At 49.2% G+C, this 14,747-nt stretch overlaps 1 long non-coding RNA gene across 4 annotated transcripts, besides 1 other annotated feature; it reads right to left on the bottom strand.

The window, feature by feature from the left end:
- Positions 1-14,258, bottom strand: LOC105378126 (uncharacterized). Of its 4 annotated transcripts, XR_943263.3 has the most exons (5): positions 13,311-13,466; positions 13,033-13,176; positions 10,120-10,224; positions 844-2,284; positions 1-726 (listed from the first exon to the last, which is right to left on the bottom strand). It is a non-coding gene; the product is annotated as an uncharacterized LOC105378126 (long non-coding RNA). The 4 variants fall into 4 exon arrangements; XR_943262.3 differs by lacking the exon at positions 13,311-13,466 and having other exon boundaries at positions 13,033-13,303; XR_943264.3 differs by lacking the exons at positions 1-726; positions 13,311-13,466 and adding an exon at positions 14,116-14,258 and having other exon boundaries at positions 1,079-2,284.
- Positions 14,298-14,592: a silencer, noted in NCBI's record as "tiled region #3778; K562 Repressive non-DNase unmatched - State 10:DNaseD". NCBI's record gives its function as "represses a minimal TATA promoter and a strong SV40 promoter by Sharpr-MPRA in K562 cells {active_cell/tissue: K562}" and the evidence as "EXISTENCE:reporter gene assay evidence [ECO:0000049][PMID:27701403]".

Genomic DNA, 14,747 nt, shown 5'->3' with positions numbered 1-14,747 from the left:
TTTCAGTTCTTTTAACTTTATTGAGTCTTGTTTCATGGCTTAGAATGTGGTCTATTTTGATCAGCGTTCTATCAGAACATAATTATAGTCTGCACGTGTGGGATGGAATGCTTAAGCAATGTTAAGTGGATCGAGCCGGGTTTTAGTGTTTTTCAAGCCTTCTGTGCTCTTACTGACTTTCTGTCGAGCAGTTACTGACAGGGGAACGCGGAAAGGTATAACTGTAATTGTGGACTTACTTCGTCTTTCAGGTGTCAGTTTTTTTTTCACATATTTGAAGCTCTATCATCAGGCACATCTGTTCTTAGAATACTTGGTACCACCCAGCTTTCCTATGATTACTGTTTGCATGGAGCGTCTTTTTCCCTCTTTTCTCTTCTAACCTATTTCTACCTGTGTGTATGAAGTTCATCTCTTGCGCATACTGTAGAGTTGGGCCCTAGTGCTTTATCCATTCTGACAAGTTTTGCCTTCTAATAGGAGTCTCTAGACCACTAATTAAATGTAACCATCAATATAGCAGATTTAAGTCTCTCATGCTATTTGTTTCTATTTGTACCATTTATTAGGGTTTTTGAAAGTAAAAATGTTGGGGATTTTCTTTTAGTTCCTTCATCTCTTATTTCAGCAGGCCGCAGATTTCCTTCCACTGGAGGTGAAGTCAGGTGTGTGAGAAGCTCACTGCGGGGTCCTGGGTCACATTTTTCGAAGTATTTCCTATTAGTACTTGGGATAGTAAAAGTGTTTATTTATTTATTTATTTTTAAAAAGAGCTATCTGTTAAAATAATTTGAGGAAAACAGTGGGTTAAAGATAATTTAGGCTGGGCCTGGTGGCTCACACCTGTAATCCTAGCATTTTGGGAGGTTGAGGCAGGAGGATGACTTGAGGTCAGGAGTTCAAGATCAGCCTGGGCAATATGGTGAAACGCTGTCTCTACCAAAACTACAAAAAATTAGCTGGGCATGGTGGCGGGCTACTCAGGAGGGTGAGGTGAGAGGATTGCTTGAGCCTGGGAGGCGGAGGTTGCAATAAGCCGAGTTTGCGCCACTGCACTCCAGCCTGAGTGACAGAGCCAGAGTCTGTCTCAAAACAAATGAACAAACAAAAACAAACAAACAAACAGATAGGTTAAAAAATACCTTTGTTTTTGTGTGTAGGTTTGTTTTAAATTCAGGACTCCTTGGAGGTTTTAACATATTCATGTATACTTCAGTAAATTGCCCAACTTATTTGACAATAGAGTCACATTTTTAAGGCACTCCTGGCACTCACGCTTATGAAATGTATTTTAGGAAACTCTGCTTTACAGTTTTCTTGCAAGCATTTGATTCTCCTCTTACAGTAGAGTCCAGTCACAAAGGGTCTGAACAGGCTCTTTCCAGGGAGTCATTCTTGGGACGATGGGAGGCCAGCAGTGTGGAGGCCCAGGATCTCCACGCAAAAGTTGCGATTTCTGATCTGAAGCCCAAAAAAGGATAGGAATGCAAGGTGCAGAGTGGCCTAGTTTAAGAGAAAGCACATCATATTTAATACTTAACAGCTATTAATTTAAGCTAGTCAGCTTCTTATTTGAAATATTCCTTCATGGTTTTCTTTTTTAAAAAAATGTATTACAAAATATCTTCCTAGTCACTAAACCAGTTGAATTCTGGAAAGAGGGAGAATATTCCCAGCTTTTGTGTAAAAGACAATGAAGACCTTAAAATGATTAAAACAAAATTGTGTAATGGCAGCCTGCAAGTGTGTTTTGTTTGCCTGAAAAGAGTTTCACATTTAAAAAATCAATTACAAAGAAAAATTACTGATTGTCAAACATTGAAGTATGGAGAAATTCGCTTAGAAATTTGCATTCCCGGATTCTCTCTGCGGACACATGTGGCAGGCCCTCTCCGAGCACAGCAGCAGCCTGTGGGCAGCACGGGTCCTGGGTGGACTGCACCCCTCCCCTGCCCCGCTCACTGGGCTGCTCCTGGACCCCTCTTGGCCCCGTAGGGCCTTGAGTGTGTGACTTCTGAACAACCAGGTTTTGTTGTTACCATTGCTGTTCCCTTGATGAGTCAATAGCCACCATGCCACGTCCTGTGTCATCTGAGGCGCTGGTGTCAGCGGAATGGACCCTGAGAGTTGCTGTCTTCCAGAGCACGTTGGTTCCCTAATGATGCGAGACAAGTGACGGCAGGTGTAGTGGCTTCAAGCAGAACAATGTTATCCTCTCACGGTTTCTGTGGATCAGGAGTCTGGAAACAGCTCGGCAGGGTCCTCCGCTCTGGGGCTCACCAGCCTGCAATCAGAGTCAGGTGGTTGCGTTCCTTTCTGGGTTGGGATACTCTTTCAAGCCCACCCATTGTTGCCAGAATTCAGTTTGTCATGGTGAGGACTACGGCCCTTCTTTCCTGCTGGCTGTCAGCAGGAGGGCCACTCTCAGCATGTAGAGGCTGCAGCAGGAGTGCAGTGTGGCTGAGCAAATGCATACGATGCGTTTGTGCATTGCCGGTTGCAGCATTTCCCATCCTGAATAATACCCCAGATAACCCCACCCCATGGTCTCCGCCACTCTCCACACTACCACCACCTCCATTCACACTCTACCACCACCACCACCATCCACACTCTACCACCACCACCTCCATCCACACTCTACCACCAACACCAACACCCACACTCTGCGACCACCACCTCCATCCACACTCTACCACCACCACCACCCACACTCTACCACCAACACCACCACCCACACTCTGCCACCACCACCTCCATCCACACTCTACCACCACCACCTCCATCCACACTCTACAACCACCATCTCCATCCACACTGTACCACCACCACCACCATCCACACTCTACCACCACCACCTCCATCCACACTCTACAACCACCACCTCCATCCACACTGTACCACCACCACCACCATCCACACTCTACCACCAACACCACCACCCACACTCTGCCACCACCACCTCCATCCACACTCTACCACCACCACCTCCATCCACACTGTACCACCACCACCACCCACACTCTACCACCAACACCACCACCCACACTCTGCCACCACCACCTCCATCCACACTCTACCACCACCACCTCCATCCACACTCTGCCACCACGACCACCATCCACACTACCGCCACCTTCACCACCATCCACACTACCACCACCTCCATCCACACTCTGCCGCCACCACCTCCATCCACATTCTGCCACCACCACCTCCATCCACACTCTACAACCACCATCTCCATCCACACTGTACCACCACCACCACCATCCACACTCTACCACCAACACCACCACCCACACTCTGCCACCACCTCCATCCACACTCTACCACCAACACCAACACCCACACTCTGCCACCACCACCTCCATCCACACTCTACCACCACCACCACCCACACTCTACCACCAACACCACCACGCACACTCTGCCACCACCACCTCCATCCACACTCTACCACCACCACCTCCATCCACACTCTACAACCACCACCTCCATCCACACTGTACCACCACCACCACCATCCACACTCTACCACCAACACCACCACCCACACTCTGCCACCACCACCTCCATCCACACTCTACCACCACCACCTCCATCCACACTGTACCACCACCACCACCACCCACACTCTACCACCAACACCACCACCCACACTCTGCCACCACCACCTCCATCCACACTCTACCACCACCACCTCCATCCACACTCTGCCACCACGACCACCATCCACACTACCGCCACCTTCACCACCATCCACACTACCACCACCTCCATCCACACTCTGCCGCCACCACCTCCATCCACATTCTGCCACCACCACCTCCATCCACACTCTGCCACCACCACTTCCATCCACACTCTACCACCACCACCACCATCCACACACACTCTACCACCACCACGTCCATCCACACTCTGCCACCACCACCATCCACACTCTACCACCACCTCCACCGACACTCTACCACCACCACCATCCCCACTTTGCCACCACCACCTCCATCCACACTCTGCCACCCCACGGTCTCTGCCACTCTGCCACCACCACCACCATCCACACTCTGCCACCACCACCACCACCATCCACACTCTACCACCACCACCTCCATCCACTATCTACCACCACCACCTCCATCCACACTCCGCCACCACCACCATCCACACACTGCCACCACCACCTCCATCCACACTCTACCACCACCACCTCCATCCACACTCTACCACCACCACCTCCATCCACTATCTACCACCACCACCTCCATCCACACTCTGCCACCACCACCATCCACACTCTACCACCACCACCATCCACACTCTACCACCACCACCACCCCCACTCTACCACCACCACCACCATCCACACTCTACCACCACCACCACCATCCACACTCTACCACCACCACCACCATCCACACTCCACCACCACCACCATCCACACACTGCCACCACCACCTTCATCCACACTCTACCACCACCACCTCCATCCACACTCTACCACCACCACCATCCACACTTTACCACCACCACCACCATCCACACTCTGCCACCCCATGGCCTCTTCCACTCTGCCACCACCACTTCCACCCATACTCTGCACAGACGCTCGTTCCTGGAAAGATGAACTACCTGAAAATGCCACCCAACAGCTGAAGGGTTCTTTTTATTTTAAACAAAAAATACCTTTAGGAATCAAAATTAAAACCAAATAAAGAGAAGGGAGGTTTTCAGGTTTTCAGTTTTATAAAGGGATAGTCTGTCCGTGAAACCAGAGCAGGTTAACATGAAGAGAGGATGACAGATCAGAGAAGAGCCCCCGAGATGAAAATTGGTGATCACTAAGTACAAAGCTGCATCTGGTCGGTGATCACTAAGCACAAAGCTGCATCTGGTTGGTGATCACAAATTTCAAAGCTGCATCTGGCGGGTGATCACTAAGCACAAAGCTGCATCTGGGGCAATCAGCTGTATTCTTCACACAGTGCAACCCTAACCAGCAATGAGGATGGAAGTGCTTGGCTGCGTGCAACCATGTGAATGAATTCCACAGGCAGGAGCTGCCAAAGAAGCCAGACACCCAGGCATAGATACCTCAGGGTTCCATTGACATGAAGTCCAAGTACCCACAAATAAATTCTATGCTTCCAGAAAGCGGAGGCCTCCAGGAGTTTGTGGTTACAAGGTGATGAGAAGGGTTCTAAGATGTTGGCGATGTTCTGTTTCTGATCTGGGTGCTGGTTACTTGGTTACTGGGGTGTGTCCACTGTGTGAAAATCAGCCAGATGTCTATCACCGTATGTGAGGGTTCTTGTGAATGTCGTGCTTTCAGTGGAAAACTAAATAAACACTGGAATCACATTCTGTACAGGTCAAGTATCTTTAATCCAAAAGTCTAAAATCTGACATGCTCCAAAATCTGAAACCTTTTGAACACCAACATGATGCTCAAAAAAAAAAAAAATGATCATTGGAGTATTTTGGATTTTGGATTTTGGGATTAGCGATGTTCAACCAGTAAGTATAATGCAAATATTCTAAAATCCCCTTCCCCAAATTGCCCAAATCTAAAACACTTCTGGTCCTAAGTATTTCAGATAAAACAGAATCAATCTGTATTGCAGAAGTTAATTTGGCTAATCATAACAAAAACTCAAGAAAGTCCCTAAGATTGTGCAAGGAAAGAGTACAAAGATGGAAATTATATAAACTCTAAGCCCAGAAATCACAAATCTGTAAAATTTTAATTCTAAAAGAAGACAATAGAGGTGAAAAAAGAGAGACATTCATAAAATAAATAATAGAAAAAAACTTTCCAGGTAAAACAAATTTTTTTTTCAAAATGAAACGTGCATTTTAATTATTTTTATTACAAATTATAATTGTTCATGCTTAAAATAATCAAGTAACATAGATAGGGGCTGGGCACAGTGACTCAAGCTTGTAATCCCAGCCCCTTGGGAGGCCAAGGTGGGAGGATCACCTGAGCCCAGGAATTTCAGATTAGCCTGGGCAACATAGTGAGACCTGTCTCTACAAAAAATAAAATAAAAAAATAGGCAAGGTGTGGTGGCTCACGCCCGTAATCCCAGCGCTTGTGGGAGGCCAAAGCAGGCAGATCACCTGAGGTCAGGAGTTTGAGACCAGCCTGACCGACATGGAGAAACCCTGTTTCTACCAAAAATACAAAATTAGCCGGGCGTGGTGGTGCATGTCTGTAATCCCAGCTACTCAGGAGGCTGAGGCAGGAGAATTGCTTGAACTCAGGAGGTGGAGGTTGTGGTGAGCTGAGATCTCACCATTGCACTCCAGACTGGGCAACAAGAGCAAAACACTGTTCTCAAAAAAAAAATTTTTTTTAATAAATAAATAAATAAATAGCCAGGCATGGTGGCACATGCCTGCAGTCCCAGCTATTCAGAAGCTGAAGCTGGAGAATTGCTTTAGCCCAGGAGTTTGAGGCTGCACTGAGCTGAGATCCCACCAGTGCACTCCAGCCTGGGTAACACAGTGAGACCCTGTCTCTAAAACAAAACAATACAAAAAGCCCAACACCATACACACTCTCACACACACACACACACACACACAGAGACATGTGTAAAGTAAGTCAACTCTCCTAACCCTATAACCACTATCATCCCCAATGCTGAAGATAACCACTGTTTCTATCTTCCTTTCCACACATAGAAATATTTGCACACATATAAATATATGCATATGGTACATTCCATCTTAAATAGTATCATGCTATATCTCCTGCTCAGCAACTTCCTTTTTACTATAAACAATATATTGTGTGCCCCTTTCCTTAATAGTTTATATAGATTCCTCTCATTACTCTTAATGACTGTGTGGTTTTTCACTTTGTAGATGTATGTTATTAATTAATCAAAGCTATTGTAATTGCGAATATCAAAAATCCAATTCAATACACTTTAACATTAATGACTGTGTGGTTTTTCACTTTGTAGATGCATGTTACGAATTAATCAAAGCTATTGTAATTGCGAATATCAAAAATCCAATTCAATACAGTTTAAGATTAAAAAGGGATCTATTGATGCTTTTAACTAGAAATGTCACAAATAGATTTCTTGCTTCAGATATGACTGGATCCAGGGACTCAAATGAGGTTGTTAGATCTCTCTTCCTCTCTTCCTTCCCTTTTCCCTTCCCTTCCTGTTATGAGCTAAACATTTGTGTCCCTCTCCCTCTTCATTTGTTGAAGTCCTAACCCCAGTGTGATGATATTTGGAGGGAGGCCTTTGGGAGATAATTAGGTTTAGATGAGGTCATGATTGTGGACCTTCATGATGAGGTGAGTGCCCTTGTAAGAAAAGACACCAGAGATAGGTTTCTCTGAGTGAACCCATATAACATTCTTTATGCTGTTTGTGTTTCTAGGACAGAAGACCACAAAAGGGGTAATTTATAATGAACAAAATGTATTTGGATCATGATTCTGGAGACTGGGAAGTCCAAGAGCATGATGCTGGCATCTGGTGAGGGCCTTCATGCTATGTTAATCCACAGCAGAAGATGGAAGGGCAAGAGGGTGCCCCAGAGAGCAATGGAGGGGGCTAAATTATCCTTTCGTCAGGAACCCACTCCCGTGAGAACCCACTCCCATGATACTCCCAAGATAACAACAATTTATCCATTCATAAAGGCAGAGCTTTCATGATCTAATCACCTCTTCAAGGTTCCATTGCTCAACACTGTAGCATTGGGGATTAAGTTTCAAACACATGAAATTTGGGGGATACATTCAAACCATGGCAAGCACATAGTGGATGGGGCTTTCTACAAGCCAGGAAGAGCACCAGGAACCAAACCAATGGGCACATTGACCTTAGACTTCCAGCCTCTAGAACTGTGAGAAAATAAATTTACGCTGTTTAAGCCACCCAGTTTGTGGCATTTTGTTACAACAGCTTGAGCTGACGTATACACTACCCTCTTCCTGACTTTGTCCTTGTTCTTCTCCTTCCCCTTCTTTGCACTCCACTCTGCTCTCCTTCCCTCTTTTTTTATTCAGTCTCATTCTTGCCTATAGCAGACAGGATTCCTTCATCTGTCGTGGAAGGTGATTCCTAGCCTTCCGGCATTCCCAATCCACAGCCTTCAAATTGTGCAACTCAAAAAGCAAAGTCTTCTTCCCTTTTCTTTAAAATAACATTCAGAAAAGGCCTCCTGCATCCTTAGCTTGTGTCACATGCCTACCCCAGGCCTGTCCCTGTATCCAGGAGGGGTAGGGGAATGACTGCCCACCCCCAGTATCACATACTTATCCCTAGGACTCACAACACAGAGACCTAGGGCCAGCAACACAGAAGACTCAGACACAGGGACTGGGAAGGGCACCTCCCTGCAGGAGAGGAAGTGCTGTGAGACTGAGGCAGCAGGTGGACACTTTTTCCTGGTCTGTGGCTACTTGAGTTTCTTTCTGACACAGACAATACCATGGTAAGTGTGGACACACATGGCTGTGCAGATGCCTGGAGGATGGTGGTCCATTAGAGATCTGTGTAGGAGGCAGCAGAACACCAGAGTGCTGGGACACCCAGCTCTGTTACCTACTCACTCTGCAACCTTCAGCAAGCTGCTCAGCGTCCTCATGACTCACTTTCCTTCTGTGATGTGGTGGCAATAGTTGTCCCTACATTGTGGAGCAGTGGAGAAAACTAAATGAGGAGTGAATACGTGGGCGCAATGGCTGTGGCGTACTCATAACTGTTACTGCTAATGAAGTGTGAATGCTTCCTGGCCCTAGTAGACCAACCAATTCCATGATTATGAACATCTTGTGGGGCTCATGCTGCTCAGAACATATTTTTGAAAAAGATGGGAAGTGGAAAAAGAATAGATTTTGGAGTTGAATTCTACATCTTTGGGGAGTTTTTAGTTTTGGTGTGGTTGGTATATTTCATGAATTTTGTTTTTTGTTTTTTTTTAAAGTGTATGGTGGTAAAATCTCTTTCACAAGCAAAGTTGAACAATAGTTTGGCTGAGTGTAAGCTTCTAATATTTCCATGTTTTCCCTCAAAATCTCTACAATCATTGCTTTCTAAATGTAGTGTTGCAATGAGGACTCCAATGTCAGTCTAATTATCTTTCCTCTAAGTTACCTCACTCCCATTGGAGAATTGTAGTATCTTCTTCAATGTGGAATGAAAAGAATTTGCTGGTTTGCACCTGTATGTGTATCTTTGCCTAATATTCTCCCTCAGCCTTCGATGTGGAGACTCAAGTCTTTCCTCAGTGTAGGGACATTCTCCTGTATTATCGCCTCTCCAGTCTCTGCACATGGCCTGTTAAACTATCACCACATTTGTGCTTTGTAACGAACCACCCAAACTCAGTGGCCTGGGACCATAAGCACAAACTACCATGCTCAGGACAGCACAGCCTCGGGCTGCAGGGCTGCAGGTCAGCAGGGAAACTGCTCCCTGTGCCTCTCCTCCTGCGACCATGTCCACTTGGTATCAATGGGAGACATTCAAGAGTGGTGAGTAAAAACGTGAGACATCTTCTAAGTCCCAGCCTGAGAACGGGCACACTCATCTCCACCTGTACTTAGATGGCAAAAGCAAGTCATACAGCCAATATCTACACCAATGGGACCAGGAAATATACTCTGACTCTAATAGAGGAAAATCCAAAGTCACATGGCTTAGCATGTAGGTATAGGGAGGGGTGAGGAGCTGGACCAAAAAGGCAGCGTACTAATATGGATACACTAAATGCAGTGTGCTGACATGGACAGTGGGTTTCTTGGTCAGTGTCACCCATGACTCTTACTGTTGATATCCTCTGTCTCTCCCACCCCCTGCATCTTAATTTTGAGTGAATTATCTATGGTAGTTGCTATGGTTTCAATGCTCCCTCCCACACTCATGCTGAAACATAATCCTCAATGTGGCAGTATTGAAAGGTGAGGCCTTTAGGAGGTGGCCAGTTCATGAGGGCTCTGCTCTCATGAAGGGATTCATTCATAAATGAATAGATGAATGGGTTAGTGGATTAATGGGCTACCATGGGAATGGAACTGGTATGCTTACAAGAAGAGGAAGAGAGCCCTGAGCTAGCATGTTTGTATGCTCAACCCCTTACCATGTGATGCCCTGGACTGCCTCAGGACCAGGTAGAGAGACCCTACCAGCAAGAAGGTCTTCACCAGATGCAGCCTCTTGACCTTGCACTTCACAGCCTCCATAACTGTAAAAAATAAATTCCTTTTCCTTAGAGATTACCCAGTTTTAGGGATTGTGTTATAAGCAACAGAAAACAAACTAAAACGGTAGTCTTCTAGTTCAATAATTTGTTTTTAGCGCAAATGCAGGGATAATAATAACCTATAAACCAGAGAGAATTATTAGCTTTACTAATAAGCAAAACAAATAAAAATTACACATGTAAAATCAGATTGTCAGCTCTATCCAGAGTTCGAGGAAATAGGCACCCTCCTTTTCTCCTGGTGGAAGTGTGAGCTACCACAGATTTGCAGGGCATAGCTGAGTCAGCCCCATAGAAGGACCCATGGCTCCTTTCCCTAATGGCTCTTATCTCCTCCCGTTAATAGCTGCCTACCTAGTCCGTGCCTCTGACCAGTGCTGAAGCTTTTCAGTCCAGCATGTTGACCTGAGAGCCTCCACTTTTATGCTGAAACTGAGCTCTTCCATGAGGTCGCCATTGGCAGCCATGCATGGCTGTTACGCACTTGAAGTGGGTCAGTCCTAACTGAGCTAAACTGCAAGAGTGAAATGCACACTGTGGGCTTGAAAGACTTAACAATGATAGTAAAATGTCCCATTTGTAAGTTTTCTAACAATTACATCTAGAAATGATGATATCAGGTAACATAAAATATGCCATTAATACCAATTTTAGGTGTTTCTTTTTACCTTTTTAATGTGACTCCTAGAAAATATAAAATTCAGATGTGGCTTGCATTATATTTCTGTTGGACTCTGCTGCCTTACAACATTCACCAACCCTCTTATGTCTTTTAGATTTAGACAAAGGCTATGCTTGGAATTTTTGTTTTGTTTTGTTTTTAACAAACAATGTACTTATATTGTGCTATTGTGCCTCTCTACTTGACCTTTCATTTTATTGTATCTTACTGTCTTTTACGATGATGTATTTATTTTTATCTTTTGTTTACTTGAAATGGAAAGAGGAAATGACAGTGTAAACAGGGATAGTTTGTGTCCCAAAGAAGGAAGCCTGGAAACTTAAACTCCTCTAAGTGGCTTCCAGCAAGGACTTTCCTCAGCACACGAAGCACTTCCTGCTGTCCCCCAAATGAGTTCCCTCGGTTATGGGACGGTCCCTCCGTGGGGTCCCTGCAGCTCCCCCAGGGTCTCTAATTCTCACCTCCTGAGAAGACTTTCCAGTGCCAGAGACACTGGCTAGGAGCTGATTTGTGAGACTCTTTCAGGGACGTGGAGTGCGTCCTGACAGTGCGCAGCTTCCACTCACACAGAGGGCTTCCTAAGCACCGGGCCAGTGCAGAGGCCCTGGCTGTGCCCCACGACTGGGAGGAGAAGCTGTGCCAGGGCCCCCAGGAGCCTGTTTGAGATGGCTGCAAGGCAAAGCACTGGAATGTTCCATTTCTCAGTGACAGTTTCGTCCACCAACGTTTGTATCCTTGCACCTTCCCAAACAAATCTGTCCCTTCGCAGTCCTCCTCAAAATGCATGTCAAGTTGAAAACTCTGGTCATGGTGGCCATCAGGCAGTAATTCCCGTGACCAGCAAGGCCAACACCGTCCGGGTGACTCCGCTGACCCTGCCGGGTCACTGAGGCTCTGGGGGCTGACTGTGCTTATGCTGTCCTGCAATTTAGGGCAGGTGCTGCCCTGCTCCTGTGCCTGCTCAGGGAGTGGTGCCCCAGGAAGGACCCGCACCATTTAGGCCAAGTGTGATGTAAGATGAAGGGACAAAAGCCCTAAAGATATTATAAAGCACGTTCTTCACAACCAAAATTCCCTGTAGAATGCAACCAAAAGGGGGAGGCAAATCTGAGTTCCACCTGTACCCTGACATTTTCTCAGACTTTAGAAACCTCCACTGGCTTAAAAACCCTTCACATGGAATGTCTGAGGTCCTGGTATCACCCAGCATTTCAATCAGAGCTGCTCATTACTCCTTACAAGTGATCTTGGAAAAGGCCAGGATAGACTAGTTGTTGTGTATTTTGTGTGAATTCTGAGGGAGACGGTGGGAAAAACATAGAGTGAGTCGATCACAGGCCCCATTTTACATGGTCCCATCCAGCAAGACCCAGGCTTGATCTCACCTTACCCCTTTTGCTGTTGCCTTGCTTTCGACTCATTCAAAACTCTTGGTGTTTAAGAAAACACTCTTCCTAATGCATTCTCCAGTACCCATGACACACCCAGTCAGTGTAGTCAACCAAAATGAAAAAGGGTAAGATCAGGGGACCCTGAGCATAACGTGTACAAAAGACTGAGGGGCTCATTTGATGTCCCCACTGTGTGACTTAGTGGTGACACATTGGAGAAAACATGCAGGAGGATGTCTGGAGCCCGTGACACCCCAGAGGCCCCGTCAGCACCGTGGGGAGGACGCAGGAGCCTGGAGCAGGCCTAGGGCGCCCAACTCAGCTCTCTGCAAGGGAGTCCAGGGACAGAAACGAATAAAGCCATTTTGCTTTCATTGCTCAACCCAGCACGTTGAGGTGTCCCCAGAACCCCAGTGTACATGGCAAAGATGTGAGGAAAAATGACGTTAGGGTATTGTCACCATGTAGTGGGGGAAATTCAACACTGGATGAAGGACTCATCCAATGTGCGTGGTTAGGTTTAAGCCGGGTCATCTGATGTTTACAGGAGGTGAAGCAGAGCCGCTGGAATACTTCTCTGATCAGCAAGGAAGCCATGTGGAAAGTACAGGAGGACCCTGGGAGTTTGGGGAACAAAAGGAGGCCGGGAGGGCCTGGTGGACCCAATGACCCCTCAGGGCTCGGGACCGCTAGGCCCGAGGGGTGGGGTCACCCTACCTTTCTTTATGGCTGTGGTGCTCCTCCATGGAAACCCCAGCTCTGACCACAGGGTGAATGCCTCTCTCCGGAAGTCTTTAGTAGACAAGAAGCCGCCTGGCCTCGGGGCTTAGGTGACGCGTAGGTGACCAGGGCAGGAGGCCTCTAGGGGTAGGGGATGGGGAGGAGGCAGTGAGGGCAGGCCCAGGGCCAGGGCCGGGGTGGGAGACCCCGGCTGAGAAGCCGTGTGAGAATGGCTGGAAACGCCCAACCCTCCCAGCAGGGCTTCAACCACTCACGGAACTCCTGGCTCCCCAGCGGGTGAGGAGGAGCCACGGCCCTCCCCAGGAGCCCCAGCCAAGCTCCGAGAGTACTGGAGCCTCCCAGCTCTGTGTGGGGGAGCCGCCGGGTGTGTGTGTGGGGGGAGGGCCGTGTGTGGGGGGAGCTGCTGTGTGAGGGGGAGTCACCGTGTGGTGGGGGGAGCCGCCGGGTGTGTGTGTGGGGGGAGGGCCGTGTGTGGGGGGAGCTGCTGTGTGAGGGGGAGTCACCGTGTGGTGGGGGGAGCCGCCGGGTGTGTGTGTGTGGGGAGGGCCGTGTGTGGGGGGAGCTGCTGTGTGAGGGGGAGTCACCGTGTGGTGGGGGGAGCCGCCAGGTGTGTGTGTGTGGGGAGGGCCGTGTGTGGGGGGAGCTGCTGTGTGAGGGGGAGTCACCGTGTGGTGGGGGGAGCCGCCGGGTGTGTGTGTGTGGGGAGGGCCGTGTGTGGGGGGAGCTGCTGTGTGAGGGGGAGTCACCGTGTGGTGGGGGGAGCCGCCGGGTGTGTGTGTGTGGGGAGGGCCGTGTGTGGGGGGAGCTGCTGTGTGAGGGGGAGTCACCGTGTGGTGGGGGGAGCCGCCAGGTGTGTGTGGGGGGAGGGCCGTGTGTGGGGGGAGCTGCTGTGTGAGGGGGAGTCACCGTGTGGTGGGGGGAGCCGCCGGGTGTGTGTGTGTGGGGGGAGGGCCGTGTGTGGGGGGAGCTGCTGTGTGAGGGGGAGTCACCGTGTGGTGGGGGGAGCCGCCGGGTGTGTGTGTGTGGGGAGGGCCGTGTGTGGGGGGAGCTGCTGCTTACGTGTGGGGAGCCACCGTGTCGGGGGAGCCGCCGTGTAGCGGGGGAGCTGCTGTGTGAGGGGGAGCCACCGTGTGGGGGGAACCATGGTGTGTGGGGGGGGAGCTGTCGTGTGCAGGGAAGCCACAGTATGGGGGGAGCCGTCGTGTGTGTGGGAGCTGCCCTGGGGGGGAACCCCAGTGTGGTGGGGGGAAGCCACCATGTGCGGGGGAGCCGCAGTGTGTGTGTGGGAACTGCTGTGTGTGGGGGAGCCGCCGTGGGAGGGGGAGCCGCCGTATTTGTGGAGGAGCCGCCGTGTGGAGGGTTGGAGACGGGAGCCGTGTAGAGGGGGAGCCGCCAGATGTGGGTGAGCCGTCATGTGTTGGGGGGGAAGCCGCAGTGTATGAGGGAGCCGCCGTGTGTGGGGGGGGAGCCGCCGTGTGTGGTGGGGGGAGCCGCCGTGTGTGGGGGGAACCGCCGTGTGTGGGGGGGAGCCGCCGTGTGTGGGGGGGGGGAGCTGCCGTGTGTGGTGGGGGGAGCCGCAGTGTATGAGGGAGACGCCGTGTGTGGTGGGGGGAGCCGCAGTGTGTGTGGCGGGGGGAGCCGCCGTGTGTGGTGGGGGGAGCCGCAGTGTATGAGGGAGCCGCCATGTGTGG

Source organism: Homo sapiens, chromosome 6 (assembly GCF_000001405.40).
Source record: "Homo sapiens chromosome 6, GRCh38.p14 Primary Assembly".
Classification (NCBI taxonomy): domain Eukaryota; kingdom Metazoa; phylum Chordata; class Mammalia; order Primates; family Hominidae; genus Homo; species Homo sapiens.
The sequence above is the reverse complement of the archived record's forward strand: the minus strand, read 5'-3'. Positions and strand labels throughout refer to the sequence as shown.